Source organism: Homo sapiens, chromosome 6 (assembly GCF_000001405.40).
Source record: "Homo sapiens chromosome 6, GRCh38.p14 Primary Assembly".
NCBI lineage: Eukaryota > Metazoa > Chordata > Mammalia > Primates > Hominidae > Homo > Homo sapiens.
The window spans coordinates 160022087-160038986 of NC_000006.12; the positions used below are offsets into that span (position 1 = coordinate 160022087).

Here is a 16900-nt window from a genome sequence, read left to right on the forward strand (position 1 = left end):
ATGTTTTGGAGTAATATTGGTGGAACTTGAGGCCATTATCTTGAGTGAAATAACTTAGTCAGACACCACATATTCTCACTTATAAGTGGGAACTAAATAATACATACACATGGACATAGAGACTGGAATAATAAATATTGGAGCTTCAGAAAGGTGAGAGGGTGGGAGGGCAGTGAGGGTTGAGAAATGAGAAATTTCCTAATGGGTACAATGTACAGTATTCCAGTGCTGGTTACACTAAAAGCACAGACCTCACCACTGTGCAATATCCATGTAATACAACTGCACTCGGTCCTCCTAAATCTAAATAAAACAAACAAAGAGGCACCCCCTTAAAGCTCAGGGTCTTGCCAACTCTAACAGTGGGGTTTCTTGATGTTTTTTAAAATAAAAAGACCATTAGTTCATAGGTATGAGAGACTGTCATAAATTAAAACCAAGTAAGGATGGATTGAAATACCCACAGGAGGAACTCATCTTCACAGTTTATGGAACAAATATAGAACAAATATTTACTGAGCTCCCACTATGTTGTAGGCATCATCTTTAGCCTGCAGTGACAAACCCTTGACCTCAAGGAGCCCCTATTATAGTGGGGGGAAAATGACAAAAGTCAACAGATGGCAGTACCTAGTATCATACATCACAGTGCTGTGAACAAAAGTGAGGCTGAGTATGGGAGACAGAGAGAGGTAGAGAGTGCTGTTTTAGGTAAAGGTGTCAGAAGAGGCCTTACTAAGGGCGATGTTTCATCAGAGACCTGAATGAAGTGAGGGAAAGAGCCATGTGTATATTTGGGTAAGCACATCTCAGGTAGAGAGGACTTTTGAGTTTCAGGAGGGTAGAATTGCATCAAGAGGTGAGTGTGGCTGCGTTGAGTGAGGAGAGTGGTAGGTTAGGGCGGTGTCATGAAGGAGTTGGAATTTCCTTCTCAGTGTAATGGGAAGCTGCTTTGAACAGGGAGAGGTGTGGCCTGATTTAATTCTGAAGTGCTAATCCTGTGCTTGTGGAGACATGGGCTGAGGTAGTAGGGCACTGAAGCTGGAATTGGGGGGCCAGTTAAGATACTATTGCAGGCAAGAGATTATGGTGGCTTGGACAGGGTGGCGATGGTGGAGGTGATAAGTAGGGAGTGGATCCAGGGTTTAGTCTGAAGGGAGAGCTGGCAGGACTTGCCGATGGTTGGATGTAGACGTGAGAGAACTTGGCGGTGGGGCAGGGGGACCTTAAGGTTTTGGCTCAAGCAACTGGTTGAATGATGGTGCCATTTGTTGAGATGAGGAACACTGGGGTAACAGTAGGTTTTGGGGGAGAAATCAAAGGCTCATTTTAAATTTAAATACATGAAATTTGAGATGGTTTTGTGTATCCAAGTGATGATGATAAACAACAGCAATAAATAACACTTATGCCAACCTGCCAGGAGCTGTACCCCAAGCTTCACATACATTAGTTCACTCAGGCCTTACAGCAGCCCCATGAAGGAATAACTGTCATTATTCCAGTATGGCACGTGGGGAAGCTGAGGCATGGAGGTTAACTTCATTCATGGTCATGCAAAGTGTTCATGCCAGAGGTTGAACCCCAAGTGTTCTGCTTCGAGTCTGTGCTTATAAACGTAGCTTCTGCTATTGTTGGCTGTGTAAGCCTGCAGTTCTGTGGAAAGGTCAAGGCTAGAGACATGAATTTGGGAGTCTTTGGCAGACATTTATAACCATGCACGAGGTCACCAAGGGATTGGGTGTAGACAGGAAAGAGGGCTGCTCAGTAAGCTGTGGCACACCTCTGGATTGAGAGTCAGTTAGAGGGAAGGTGAGAAGTGTTTCCAGGAGGCTGAAAAAGAGCTGGAAGTGGGGCAGAAGAAAACCAGGAGCCTGTGGATGCAAGCCACAGGAGAAGGGGTTTCATGAGGTGGAGAATGATCAGTAGCATCCAGTGCCACAAGAGACCATGTAACGGGAAGGCTAGGACACGAGCACTGGATGTGTCAGCAGAGATGTTGTGGGTGAGCTGGTAAGCGGGGTTTTGCTGGAGTGGGAGGCAGCAAGCTGATGGGACTGTGTTCAAGAGAGAATGGAAGGCAGGAAGAGGAGAAGACGTGTAGGGACAATTGAAGAAATTTTGCTCTAAGTTGCAGAGACATGAGATGATAGCTAGGGGAATGTAGGGACCAGGAAGGACGTTTGTGAGGTGGTAGATCTCATGGCATGCTGACGGAAACGATCCAGTGGAGAGGGAAAACCTGGTGATGTAAAGTGAGAGGAGATGATTGCACAACAGTCCTCATGTAAGAGAGAAGAGATACCGAAAAGAACGCAGAGGAGCCAAGACGTTTATTGACCTTTGCCTGAGTTCGTTATTAGGGGACACCATAGCATGATAGTCCCTAAGGAATGGAGAGCAGTGTTGTGTGACATTGGTCATAAGCTTTTCTGATTGACCAAGATGTATACTGAAGACTCACTTTTTTCTTCCTCCCTTCCAGGTGCCATGCTATGTGTTTGATGAAGAGTTGAGGAAGCATGATCTCAATCCTCTGATCAAGCTTAGTGGTGCCTACTTGGTGGATGACTCCGATCCGGACACTTCTCTATTCATCAATGTTTGTAGAGACATAGGTATGAATCTTTGTGGGGCTGAGGGGGTGGTGGTGAGGGATTTCTTCTATGGCTTCAATATCTTTGCCTTTCTACCTTTATTTCTGTTTTCACATCCATGTTTCTGATTAGGCCCTCTAATAAAGCTTTTGTCCCCAAAAATGTTCTATTTGCACAACCCACCTCTTCTCCCCCAGTAGATTCCATGCCTCCTCCCCAACCCCTGTAGATTCCATCCTAACTGTTGATCCATTCCATGTGGGTGTTCTCTCGGCCAGACACCTTGGGTTTCGGGATTCTACAGAAGTGAGGGTCGGTCTTGTTCTCTGTGTGTGCCTGAATCCCTTGGCTCTGAGTTACGGGCTGGGTGAAAAAGAAAAAGGGATGATCAAGGACTTGGGTACTTGGTCGGGATGCATATTTGGCCCAAGCTGACTTGTTCCTTTCTCTGTACTTGCCAAAACTGGTGTGAGAAGCTTTAGCTTAAGCTTTAGAATCTTTGATAAATTAACTAAAGACCGTAAATAAATGGTCTTTATCTAAAAAGGGCCATGAAAAGTTTTACTAAGCCTTTGACTAGCCTTCAGCTGGTTTTACTAAGCCAAGTTTCTAAAACCCAGCTTGATGTTCCCCTCAGGGCTATGAATTGTTAGTCCTGTAGGCCAGGACTGTCTTTCTGCAGTGCTAGCCATGAGTAAATTCTGCTGGTGATTAACTAATCTAAAGGTCATTTTTAGTGTTCTTCTTTGTTTTTTATTTCTCAAATAGTACATAATGCTTTGCCCTTAGAAAAGTTTGGAGAAAATTTTAAAAAATAAACTCAATACATGGAAGTATTGCTGGATAGTAGATGAGTATTAATTTATGATTATTCTTTAAATTATATATATACATTATGTACTATCTTGTTTATGTATTATTTCTAAACAGTTAAAAACAGTAAATATACCCCATTCAGGGCTCACCAAAAGTAACCAATGATAACTAGGTTTTTTTGTGTGTGTTAGAGTATTACATCTTTCTTTTGTTCTCCAAGGATAACCTTTATTGATTTTTTGGAAAAAGACTAATACAGTCTTTGTCTTAAATGGGTCTGTAACTCAAGTTTGGTTATAGAGTTGATGAGTTGTAGATTATTGAATTCTGGAATAATACGCTATTTTGATTTGGAAAACATTTAGGTTTCTGGTCTCTTAACATTTTACAGATCATCTGAATTTGCTGAGTATTTTCTTACAAGTTTTTTCTTTCCAATTTATTGGCAATTTGAGTAGAGCTTGAATGACTTTGATTCACAGTAGGGGTGCCCTAGTTTTTACTCAGACATTCTCCATTCCCAGGAAATTGCCCTAAGTCTCAAACCAAGATTGAATGTGACCCTCAAAACCTCTTGGATAGTTTCGGACTTGCCATCATGTGCTTACCTCCTTGCATCCTCAGGGCGCTTGCTGTGTATTCTGCCTTTGGTATACCAAGTGGATTGTCTTACACTGAGTCCCCATGAGGGCAAGGAGCCTATGGCACAGCAGATACTATAGGTGGAACAAAGCAGTCCATTTGTGAAATTTCATAATTCCACATAATTTCATAATTGTTTGGAAGGCTTGAGAGTTAAAGGTTTGCTTACCTCTTCACTAGCTGGTGCAAAGGTAGATAACCCTCTCCATCTTTGATTAATAAGGCAGGTAAAACTTAAGGGAGGTAAGATTATTCACTCACTCATTCGTGGGAGAAGGGTTGTTTGAATCCCTTCTGTGTGCTAGGCACTAATCTAGGCACTGGATTATAGCACTGAACTCACCACAGTTCCTGTTTTCCTGGAACTTTAGTTAGATAGGAGAAAAGATAGATAGTAAACAAATAAATCCCAAAGTATACTGTGTAAGGTATTGAGTCATGGTCATAGAAATGAATGGTAAAGAGCAACCTAGCTGTAATCATAGCTGTTGCTATACTGGCAATCTGTAAAGCCTGCGGGATGTTCTGGACATATTCTGGGTATGTTTTCATCTTTAATCCTCCACCAAACCTGTGCAGTAGCACACTGGCAATTGGATAGTTTTGTAGTTAGACCAACGTTATCGACATAGTAAGTGGTCGATTTAGGATTTGAACCCAGAGCTGTGGGTTCTTTCCCTAATCTCCTAATTGTTCCAGTCATCTGTGGAGTGCCTGCATTTTCTAGTCTCTGTAGCTTGAAAGGGGATAGTGCTAATGTTGTTGTACCTCAAGCAGAGGATGGGTACATTTCTTGATTACAAATAACATCATAACCTGTTTCCTGTGCACCTCTTATATACCAGTGCAGAGCCAGTACTTTACAGTCCTTCATCCTGAGCTTTGTTTGCAGAGGGTTAATGGCTTGCCCAAGGTTTCAGAATAGTTACTTAGGGAGACTTTTAGGAATTCAATAATGTATTTAAAGGGACCCTGGGTCTAAGGGTACGTGTGATTATCACTCCTAACACCTAATCTGATTTAATGTAATACATGATTTTCAGACACACTACGAGACCCAGGTTCACAGCTGCGGGCCTGTCCCCCCGGCACTGCCGCCTGCCTGGTAAGAGGACACCAGGCGTTTGATGTTGGCCAGCCCCGGGACGGACTGAAGCTGGTGCGCAAGGACAGGTCAGTCAAGGCCTCCGATGCTGTTGGCGTTTTTAATCTCCAGCAAGGACCTGACTTTCAGGGAGCTGCAGGAACATCCTTTTTCAGCAAGGCTTGGGATAGTCCCTGCAGCATTGCTGCTTCACATGTACTTGTAAGATTGTTGGTCATTGCTGTGAGTCACATAGTCTAGTGTGCTTGTCTACTTTTTAATCATTTGTCTCTTACAGCAGTAAAAATACATCTCATGATCCAGTCCATAGTACATACCTGTATTTGCCTCATGAAATAATGCCTATCTTAAGGTGCCATCTGATATTTTTCATTCTGTGGCACCCGTGAAATTGATTTTGTGTCCATTGTGTTCTCATCTTGGGAGGGCAAGAGACAGGAGGGACAGTTTGCTGGTGACCTTCACTGGGATGTGACAGGGACCTTGGTTCCCAGTGGGGAATGGTGTTCCTTATAATGTGTTGTGCCGTGTACATATGCTCTTGTACTGCCTTTGTATCTTGCCTTGGCAGACATACGCATTTCTCTAGTGTGTTGCACATGACCATATCCTGAACTTCGATCAAGGATTCACATTTTCTCCCCATTCAGAGGCCTTTGGTAGACACCTTGTTGTGCTTGCTCTAGTCTGGAGCTCGTGGCATGTCTGGGTGGTTGTAGGGAGCATGTGCAATTATAATGGCACTCTGTCCAAAGAAAAAACTTGAGCGTAACCTGAGGGGAAAAGTGTTTGGAATTTTCTATGTGTGTGTCTGTATTAGTTTGCTCAGGCTGCCATAAGAAAATACGATAGGCTGGGTAGCTTAAACCACAGAAATGTATTTCCTACACAGTCTAAAGGCTGCATGTCTGAAGAAGGCGTCACCGGGGCTGGTTTGTTCTGAGGCCTCTCTCCTTGGCTCGTTAGATGGCCGTTTTCTTTCTGTGTCTTCACGTGGCCTTCCCTCTGCGGGGGTCTGTGTCCGAATCTCCTCTTCTGATAAGGACACCAGTGATTTTTTGGATTAAGGCCCACTCACATGATCTCCTTTTTCCTTGTTCACCTCTTTAAAGGCCCTGTCTCCAAATATAGTCACATGCTGAGCTATGGCTTAGGCCTTCAACATACAAATTTTGAGGGGAAACAGTTCAGTCCATAACAGAGTCTTTAAGTGACACATTGGTAATTCTTAATATGAATGAGTTTGTGTGACGATTTAGTAACATGTGGGACACTGAGCAAGTGTGAGCTTCTCTTGTGGGAAAAGGCAGGTCATCTGTGATCAGCTATTCTCTAGCAGGCAGCCAGGGGCACTGGGCCCTTTCCACACTGAGTGCAGTAAACCCTGGTGGTGGGGGCCATGTTGGATGGTGGTTTGGGTGGTGGAAGAGAACCCCAGTTCAGTAACTGCTGTAACTGCTGGGCAGGTGCTGTGGGGTTAAGACAAAACAAAACTTTTGGCTGGCACTTAGAATTTGTTGTATAAAGAGGAAATGATTGACTAGCCTTGTGGGCAAAAATGCACCTGGCCTGCTTGTCTGCCTTTTTTTTTTTTTAATTTTGTTATCTCATTTACAACCGTTTTTTGCTTGTTTTAGTCAAATGGTGTTTCTTCCTTTTTTTAAAAAAAATAATTTTTTTGTTCCTTTTCTCTTTCCTTATTCTAGGACATGAAGCAGATCAAACAGGTTTTGTTTTTGTTTTTGCTTTTGTTTTTGAGATGGGTCTTGCTGTGTCACGTAGGCTGGAGTGCAGTGGTGTGATTTTGGTTCACTGCAACCTCCGCCTCCCTGTTCAAGTGATTCTCCTGCCTCAGCCTCCTCAGTAGCTGGGACTAGAGGCGCACTACCATGCCCAGCTAATTTTTGTAGTTTTAGTAGAGATGGAGGTTCGCTGTGTTGGCCAGGGTAGTCTGGAACTCCTGACCTCAGGTGATCCACCACCTTGGTCTCCCAGAATGCTGGGATTACAGGCGTGAGCCATCGCACCCAGCCAGGTTTTCTTAATATATCAAATTTATGTGCTGGTCACTTTAGATATTTGATTTTTTAACAAAATAACACTCACTGGAGTTTACTTAAAACTTTTTTTTTTTTCAAATGGAAATAAAGTCATTTTATACCATATCTACTTTTATATTTTAATATTTCTTCTGTTACCCTCTCCTCCCCCCCAAGTGAATGTGCTGAATGCTCAGGGCAACATATGAATTTGGATGTACTTTATACTTTTGTAATACTCTTTTCTCAATGTGGCTCTCCCAGGCTTGTCCTGAGTTACGTGAGGGAAGAGGCAGGAAAGCTAGACTTTTGTGATGGTCACAGCCCTGCGGTGACTATTACATTTGTTTGCCCGTCGGAGCGGAGAGAGGTAAGTGACTCGTCTCCTGATCACTAATGTGGCGCACAGTAGCCTGGGTTGCCCATGCGAACGCGTTTCTGGGCTTGGGGCAGGGTGGGCCTGGATGCAGGAAGCTGGGAGCCATGACAGAGGCACTGGTGGGTTCTCAGGAGAAGACAAGCTTCCTGGGATAGCTTCTGTCACATGCAGCTCACTCAGGGAGAGCTGTTTGCATTTTGCCTTTTGCTTTTTTACAGCAATCCGGAGGGGCCTCCACATATAATGGGATGGTGTTTTGTTCTAGTCTCTGTGAGATTATTTTAAGTAGTTCACGGACAGATTTTTTTTTGGTAGTTGGGTTGTTTTAGTGAATAGTGGAAAAACGAAGTAGAATTTCAAGCCTGTGATTTCTTATGAGAAGCCTTTCCCTCCCTCTCTCTTCCCAGTCTGCCCCTAAACCCCCATCCATGCCTTCTCCCCTCTTTCTCATCACAGGCCAGTTTATTGCTGTGCCCTCTGCTGTTGATGAAATCTCCAGCGCAGCTGTAAACTCTTCGAGTGTGGCTGCTGAGACTTACTTGTCCTTGAGTGCCCAGCGCCTGCAAGTGTTTTAACCAGGGGCAGGTGCTGATGGAAAGGAGGCGTCCCCCAGGGAGGGAGGGGTAGGGCAGGGCTTTCCTTTAGTTTCTTTCTGCCTTCTTAGTAATAGGGTGAAGTAGGGAGGGGCTGAATTCTTTTGCCAGAGAACCACACTCCCCTTCCCCCAAGCAAATGTGGAATTTGCTCTGACGTCAGGCTGGCAGCTGGCCTGGTGTGTGTGGGATATGGAGACAGTGCAGGGCTCAGCTTTCCACTTTCTGTCCCCAGACTTCCACATCAAGTGCTGTCAGCTGAATGAAGGCCGGAGTGTCTGATGTTTGTTCTGAATGTGAATGGGGAGGAATATTTATTCACACTTTTCATTTGTACCTACAGATGTGAGTTGAAATCTTTTAAGCCCAGTGAGATGTTCTCAGGCGGTAGTGGTTTTAGTGTTTTCCCTTTTTATTTGTTCTACATTTGGTAAGAATCATTTTACACTGTGAGAACCAAGAGAATTGGGAGTTTTCCTCCTTTTTCTTCGAAGGGGTATGAGGCATTTCTTGGTGTTAGAAGAAGAGGCTGATTTGTTATTAGTGGAGCAAGAAGTTCCCTCTGTTTTTTTTTTTTTTTTTTAAAGACAGTGTCTTGCTCTGTCGCCCCGGCCGGAGTGCAGTGCCACGATCTCACTTCACTACAATCTCCGCCTCCCTAGTTCAAGCAATCCTCCCACTTCAAGCAATCCTCCCACTTCAGCCTTCTGAGTAGCTGGGACTACAGGCATGTGCCACCACGCCTGGCTAATTTTTGTATTTTTAGTAGAGACAGGGCTTTGCTATGTTGCCCAGGCTGGTCTTGAACTCCCAGGCTCAAGTGATCTGTCCACCTCGGCCTCCCACAGTGCTGGGATTACAGGTGTGAGCCACCGCACCGGCCAGGTTTCTTTTCAAGCTTAACTGTTCACTGGGCAGACCTTGTGTGACATGTGCTTGGACACTGTAATACTTGGGAGGTTTGTTTAAGCATTTACATTTGCTCATTGAATGATTTTAGGAGCTGGTATTTAGTAAACACTCACCTTGTCATATAGATCATTTTAAAAATGCTTTATTTAATTTATTTATTGGGTTTACATACTGTAAAGTTCAGTTTTTTTTAAGTACAATTCAGTGGTTATTAGTATTTTTTTTTAGAACTGTGCAACCATCATCACAATCTAATTTTGCATTTCCATCACCCCAAAAAGAAACCTCCTGCCCATTAGCAGTCTCTTCCCATTCATACCCCAAGCCCTGGCAACTGTCCACCTTCTTCCTGTCTCTGTGGATTGGCCTTTTTTGGATGTTTTATGTCAGGAGAATCCTACACTGTGTGGCTTTCTGTGCCTGGTTTCTCTTACGGAGCCCTGGGGTCTGCATCACCATGTGTCAGACTGCACTGAGCCACGTGGGCAGAAGCATCGATTATGAGTCAAACAGAAGAGGGTTGGGCCTGCAGCTCTGCAACTTACTAATTGTGTGCGACCTGTTTGTAAACCTGGCACCTAGTGCCTGGCGTGTAGCAGGTGCTCAGTGAGTATTTACGGAATGAATGGTGCTGGGAAGCAGCACGGCTATGCCCGGTGCTAAGCCCAGTAAGTCGTGTCTCCTAAGGGTGATTAAAAAGCTGGCAGTGACATTCCTGGTGAGCAGGGACCCCATCAGCCCCCTTCATGGCTCACATCAAAGACGAATGGTGGAGCTCCTGCTCTGTAGAAGCAACACAATGGCAGAATCGGGTTTGTGTCTGGGTGGTGCCCTGGCTTCACCCAGGAGCAGGTGTGGGTACAGATATGGTGGTGCCCAGGATCCCAAAGGGGTTGTGGACCGTGTCTCTGGTTGTGCACGCATGTGATAATGTTCACTCAGTGTCAGGGTTGCACCACTCCAGTTGAGCACCTCGTGGAAAGCGGTGAATGGACCATGCACCCTGCACGGCCTGTTAGCGCTTGCCGATGTCCTAGTGATTGCCACGTGCCACTGAGTCCAGGTGCTTGCTGGCCGAAGCTTGAGTGTCTCTCTGAAGGTGACTAGACTAGAAAGGGAATAGAGTGTAAAGAGGAAATGGAGGTGTTACGAGTCAAATGGAAAAAAAATAACAGTTTAGAAAAAAATTAAAAGTAACTTTACTGAGTTGTTATAAGTCAAATAATCTTAATGTGTTAGAGGCAATTATGATTCAAAAAACAGAAACAGCAAAATGTAGAAACCTAACAACCTGTCTTTGAGCTTTTCATAAGTGTGGAAAATCTGCATTAAGCTGCATGAAACATTTTTTATTTTGCTTCTTTCACATTGTTCCTGATAGGGCACCATTCCCAAACTCACAGCTAAATCCAACTGCCGCTATGAAATTGAGTGGATTACTGAGTATGCCTGCCACAGAGATTACCTGGAAAGTAAAACTTGTTCTCTGAGCGGCGAGCAGCAGGATGTCTCCATAGACCTCACACCACTTGCCCAGAGCGGAGGTAAGCAGGTGCTTTCTGCCTCCTGGCGCTGCTTAGGAAGAAGGGGATCGAGAGAGGGAACGGGACAGTAGGGGCCAAGTCAGTCCATGCATGCTTCTGGGTTGGAGAGAGCTGTAGTTTGGGCTGGTGTTTCAGAAATAGGATTCAGGTTTGACTAAGTAAGACTGTAATCTTCTAATACCTATTCATATAAAACAAGCCTCTTCTTGTTAATTTCCCTGTTTTTAGGTTCATCCTATATTTCAGATGGAAAAGAATATTTGTTTTATTTGAATGTCTGTGGAGAAACTGAAATACAGTTCTGTAATAAAAAACAAGCTGCAGTTTGCCAAGTGAAAAAGAGCGATACCTCTCAAGTCAAAGCAGCAGGAAGATACCACAATCAGACCCTCCGGTACGTCAACAACCTCTGTGCGATTTTCCTTTTTCTTTGTATTTCTTGAGATAGGGTTGCACTCTGGCGCCCAGGCTAGACTGCAGTGGTGCAATCTCGGTGCATTGCAGCCTTGACTTCCCTGCCTCAAGTAATTCTCCCACCTCAGCCTCCCGAGTAGCTGGGACTACAGGCAGGCACCACCATGCCTAGCTGGTTTCTGTAGTTTTTGTAGACATGGAGTTTTGCCATGTTGCCCACGCTGATCTTGAAGTCCTTGCCTCGGTGATCCTCCCACATTGGCCTCCCAAAGTGCGTGGATTAGAGGCGTGTGCCTTGGGACTGGCCTGCATAATTTTCAAGTGCGTTGTGTGTATTCTTGTGAAACATAACTCCCTCTCCTTTTCTTCCTCTTTCCATTTTCCGTAAGGTACGGGAGAATCAGTTACTCCAGCATTCCTTCCTAGTAGACTTCGGCAAGTTGCCGTTTGTCACTAAACAATCAAATGTTTTTCCTGGCTTTAGAGTAAGAATGCTTCTGTTAGAACTGTTCACTTTATAAACTTGCTGTTTGTACGGAACCTACTGTAGGAAAAGTATTTAATGAGTTTACAGTTGATAGGGTTTTTTATTTTAAAATTCGTTTTTAAGGAGTTTTGATTTTTCTCTGGCAGTTTGAGAATCTGAAGCACCATCAACATAACAGAAAATTTTAAACAACTAAAAAAATGCATTCAGCACATTTCTTTTGACCCTTAACTTGGTAGTTGACCTTCATAAAAGCAGGATGAAAATGCAGTTTTCTGAAAATGTGTTAGGGGCAGTTACGATTCAAAAATTAGGAACAGAAAACTGCAAAAACCCCAGAACTGGTCTTTGAGCTTTTTAAAAGCATGGAATATCTGCCGAGAAGCTGCATTTTAAACATTTTATTTTTGCTTCTTTCAAATTGTTCAGGATCAGTATAGTCCAAGGCCCCTCAGGCACGGCTGTGTTCATGGCGGCTGTTAAGAAGGCTGTCTAATTCTTGGGCGTTATTTATTTTGTACGAAATCTAAAAGTGAGAACAAGAGAAGTCTTCATGCTCACAGCAAAACCTTCGGCACTTTCTTCCAGCCAGTTACTACTTTGAAGCGAGAGGATGTCAAGTCCATACATTTGGAACTCATTTCCTGTAGATATTTTTCCCTAGCTGGCTAGAGAGCTTGCTGTTTTAGATCCGTAGTGATTTGTTGATGCTACGCAAAAGGCTTAATGTAGACATTTAAAAAGATTCAAGTTTTTTTCTTGGTTCTCCCAAACACATTTGTCTGTGTATTCACAAAAATCTAGATATTCGGATGGAGACCTCACCTTGATATATTTTGGAGGTGATGAATGCAGCTCAGGGTTTCAGCGGATGAGCGTCATAAACTTTGAGTGCAATAAAACCGCAGGTAAGTGTGCGCTGGAGTTCAGCCCCTCCTCTTTGCATTCATGGGCATGTGCTTGTGTGTGTGCACAGGCGTGTTCTTGGAAGTGAACACTGAATGGAGGAGTCAGATGCCCTCCTTTGGACTGGCCAGCTCTAGCCCCCAGACTGGGTTTTTTCTGTTGGAGTAACACTTTCCCCACCCCCACTGCCCCAGTGGACACACACACATCCTGTTTGTGTTTTCCTCGGTTTTCTCTGTTTGTTTTGGGAATGGGCCCAGCAATGAGCTTGTTGGGAAAGTTTTCATCTTGAATTTTGGTGCACACTAAACTACAGCAAGGACAGATTCGGCAGGGGCGGGATGGCTTGTCAATTTTGATTGAGTGACCTCTTCTTTTATGTAATGAGTATCAAGATAATCCTTTTTGCAAAGTGGTGACCCTATGGTAGAGTTTGGATCTGGGGATTGCAGAATGTCACTGGGTGCATTGAAGCTGAAGGCGTGCATTTCTCTGAGTAATGAGAAGCACCCTTGAGTCACCAAGGCACTGGCATATCAAAAAGCGGTGCCGCTGTCCATATCTTGACGATTGTAGACACAGTTGTAGCTGTAGAGAGATGATGGGATTCCGTCATCATCAGAGACCTGCCCCATCTGTTGACCCCCAGGCTGTGACTCCAGGCACCCTGCAGGGCATCCCACCACTGCTCAGAGCAATTCTAGGGCCCATTCTGGTTTCCAGCCTAAGTGCTGCCCCACCCAGAGGGTCTTTCTGGCCCTTGCTTCCGTGTGTTCTGTGTGTTTTTCTACAGCAGAGCTTTGGGTGGCTTGGTTACAGGATGGGTTGCTACAGGATTCACTGTGGGATGAGGGAGAGGCAGCTGGACATGATGTGAACCATGCTCTCGAAGCCTCCGGAGATCAGGTCTGCGTTGGGAGAGACAGGCACCCCTGCCCTGGTAGCACCGCACCCCTGCGAACGTCCTAGCAAGCAGGCAAAGAACCAGCCCAGGGTCTTGCCACTGGGAAGGCTTTCAAGCCCAAAATGCCCCAGTAACTGCTGTTGTGGCACCTGCCCCTGGGATGCCCTTGTTCACAGGTCTGCCATTGCTGTCCTTGTTCTCTACATGGCCCCTTTTGTTACTTTCACAATACACACATTTTTTAAGTACCTATTTGCTTAGGCCCTATGAGGCTGGAGGGTGTTGTGAGGATAGATGGCTCTCTAGGTGTTCACAGACTAGCAGCAGAGAGAGATAAGGAGCATGATGATGGAGGTTCAGGGCAGTGCTGCTAGAGTAGAGCGAGTGCTTAGTGTTGTCGCTCCGCTGCTTTACCAGGAGGGAGGCACCGAGGTCAGCTGGCTGGGGTCTGGGCTGGGTGCAGGGGTCAGGCAGTTCAGAGAGGAGGAAGTGCTGCCTGAGCCACACTACATTGAGGAGCATGCCAGTCCCGTGTTGGGGTGGCTTTAGGGCCTGGGCCTCCAGACATTCAAAGGCATGGACCAGGGGAACTGCGAGCAGGTTAGAGGCGTGTATGGGGAATGTGGCTGAAGATGACCCTGGAACGGTGAGTGTGCAGTATTGTAAGAAACTTGTATGTCCTGCAGAGGAGCTGGATTATATCTGGAAATCTGTGAAGTCCCAAGGATTTTCAGCAGGGGTATGACATACATCTGACTCGTGAATGAGAAAATCAGTGTGGCCTCTGGATGGACCTCGCATCTGGTCTGAGCACTCCCTGCACCCCTCAGCTTCTCCATCATTCTCTCATCGCCCTCACCTCCTAGCCTACCTACGCTACTAGCCTCCTTAGCCATGTCTGCACCCTGAATCACGTCTCTCCTACTTGGTGTCCCCAGTCCCCAGGGATGCAGCCTGTATCTTCCCCATGTGCCCAGCCCCTCTGATGCCTGACCTTGGTTCTGGCTCCCAGGTCACCCCAACTGGCTCTCCTGGACTCCGGCTGGCTCAGGCTGCTCTGCTGTGGTCTGAATCTCCCTGCAACTTTGTGATGACCTCCTTTGGCCTGTTCTGTTCAGGGCTTTTTATTAATGACTTGGCCGAGATCTTTGAGAGTGTGCTGATCTCATTTGGGGATGCTGGGAAGACAGAATCATTATCCAAAAAGATCGAAATGGACGAGCAGGATATGAGAAGGGCATTATATCGTTTCAGACTTACAGGGAAGAGGTGTGGACATCGATGAGCTGCCAACCAAACAAAAAACACAGGAGAGAAAAACCAAAGAACAGAAAGAAAGAAAAATAGAAAAAAAAAAGAAGACCCGCAGTAGAGTGGGGAGATCTTGCCTTGTAGTTATGAGCATAGATGAGGCCACACCCTCTGGGTTTGGTTCCCAGCTGCCCTAGTTTTTAGTTATGAAATCATGGGCCCAGAGGGAGCTAAAGCCCAGATGAGCTGAGGCTTGACAAAACGGGTGAAGGCCTCCCATAGCTCCATTTTTCCTTTTCATTATAAAAATTTTCAAACATGGAACATTAAAACAGAAATTTACATGCCTGCCACTCTGACAGCCATTGATGTTTTGCCAGATTTTTCATGTAAGCCATGCGTCATTGATGGCTCATATCACCCCACCCTGATGCCAAGAACGAACATTCCTTTATGTAAATTCAGTACCATCGTTGTACTTAACAAAATTAACAGTGACATCCTGATGTTAAAAAACCCATGTTTTCCTAGGCTGTTTTCATTATGATTGTAACAAGGAGCCTGGACAGAGAGATGTCAGGTGTTTTGTGGGAGGGTTTTGAGCTGGCTCTCAGGCAGGAGTTGGATTAAAAAATACTTACATTTCCTTCCAGCTCTGTAATTCAGCACTCCAAACTCTGAGAGCAAATTGTGTACTGTAAAATTAGTTCATTATTATTTTGCTCGAATTTAAACTTAGAGTTTTTGGAGAATATCCCTTGGTAGACTCTGTTTATTAGATAGATGTATTTTTGAAGGTGAACGAGTGTTAATTGGCTATGTAATAGAAGTGTGGTTTAAGTTGGATCTCTAGGAATTATTCATGTGAATCTAGGTTCATGTACTTTTCAGGATGCAAGCGCATCTTTTGGTCATAATATTTTTTACCAGTTTAAATCTAGTTTGTTGTAAAGCGATGCTTTATTATTGGTGATTTTTTTAAATAAAGATGTTAGATAATTTTTTGGAAGAGCAGAATTCATTAGGATAGGCTAATAAACTACTCACAATTTAAGTGGCTCAGCCCATTAAAGGTTTATTTTCTTAGTTCAGTGCTAGTCTTTGGGGATGGGGCTGGGGTCGGGGGTGCGGGCTCTGCTCCATGTGGTCATTTGGAGACCTACGCTTTTTCCATCCTGTGTTTCTGCCATCTGCAGATGTGACTTCCAGGGGCTCTGCAGGATGGGAACATCAATTTGCTTTGTTTTATTTTTTTTCCAGGCCAGAAATAAGTCACTTGGCCCAGCCTGAATATCAGGGGAGGCTGGGAAACGGAGTTTAGCTATGTGTCTAGAGGAAAAATTAAACTAGTTGGGTAAGAGGTAGCATTGTTTTTGCCACAGAGAAATGGGTGCTGCTGCCTCCTCCTTAGGCAGAGAGCTCCTTGGTTCCATTTGAAAACCTTCCTTCCCCTTTTGCTGGAATTGAGAGACTGAGGACACAAAGTGGTGTGCTGGAGAATAAACTAGAGCCTGTGGTGCCAGACTGGCAACTTGGGGATTGTGTGAGTGAGGGAGAGATTGTGCAGAGCTAATCCTAACATTGCTGATGAGTGGACAGAAACCATAGGCCTCATGAATAGTGATTTCTGAAGTCAAAGCCCAGTATGCTTAAATATCAACCCAAGTGGTTTGGGAGAGGGGAGCACAGCTTACTGTTCTGCTAAAATTCTTTGAGGAATTAAGTAAGAATACGTGTAAGGTACGTAGCAATGGTTATTTACAAAATGGACTCTGCCTGCAGATTATTAGTATGTCTCAGATGTAAAACCAGCTCAAAAGTACTAGGACGATTTGTAGTAGTATTTAATTATTTGTAAACTTACACGTTTTTCTTCACGTTTGCAGAATACAAATCTTTGTCAGTAGTGAAATGTGAATCTAGTAGGATTAAACTGTGTGTAAACCTTGTGGGCGGGATGAAGAGAGGCAGAGGCGCGTCACTGTTGCTGTTAGTTGACCGGCAAGCTCAGGGGCCCAGCTATGGTAGCTGCCTCTGGGTTGTCAGCTGCGCCCAGGAGGTGAAGGTGGAAGGCATTCCTTAAAGACAGTGGCTTAGTGTACTTATTAAAAACCAAACCAAACCAGCCAACCAAACAAACAAAAAACACAGGAGAGAAAACCAAAGAAAAAAAGAAAAATAGAAAAAACCCCACAGTAGAGTGGGGCAATCTTGCCTTGTGGTTATGAGCACGGATGAGGGCAGACCCTCAGGGTCTGATTCCCAGCTGCCCTAGTTTTTAGTTATGAAACCATAAGCAAATTATTTAGCC

General features: G+C 44.7%; 1 protein-coding gene across 1 annotated transcript in view; it reads left to right on the forward strand.

Moving 5' to 3' along the window:
* IGF2R (insulin like growth factor 2 receptor) overlaps nt 1-16900 on the forward strand; it is a 142423-nt gene that overhangs the window by 53005 nt on the left and 72518 nt on the right. Inside the window, exons 5-10 of the mRNA NM_000876.4 lie at nt 2486-2618; nt 5099-5228; nt 7464-7569; nt 10465-10627; nt 10856-11021; nt 12333-12436. Of these exons, the coding sequence (NP_000867.3) occupies nt 2486-2618; nt 5099-5228; nt 7464-7569; nt 10465-10627; nt 10856-11021; nt 12333-12436 (802 nt within the window). The remainder of the gene's footprint in view (nt 1-2485; nt 2619-5098; nt 5229-7463; nt 7570-10464; nt 10628-10855; nt 11022-12332; nt 12437-16900) is intronic.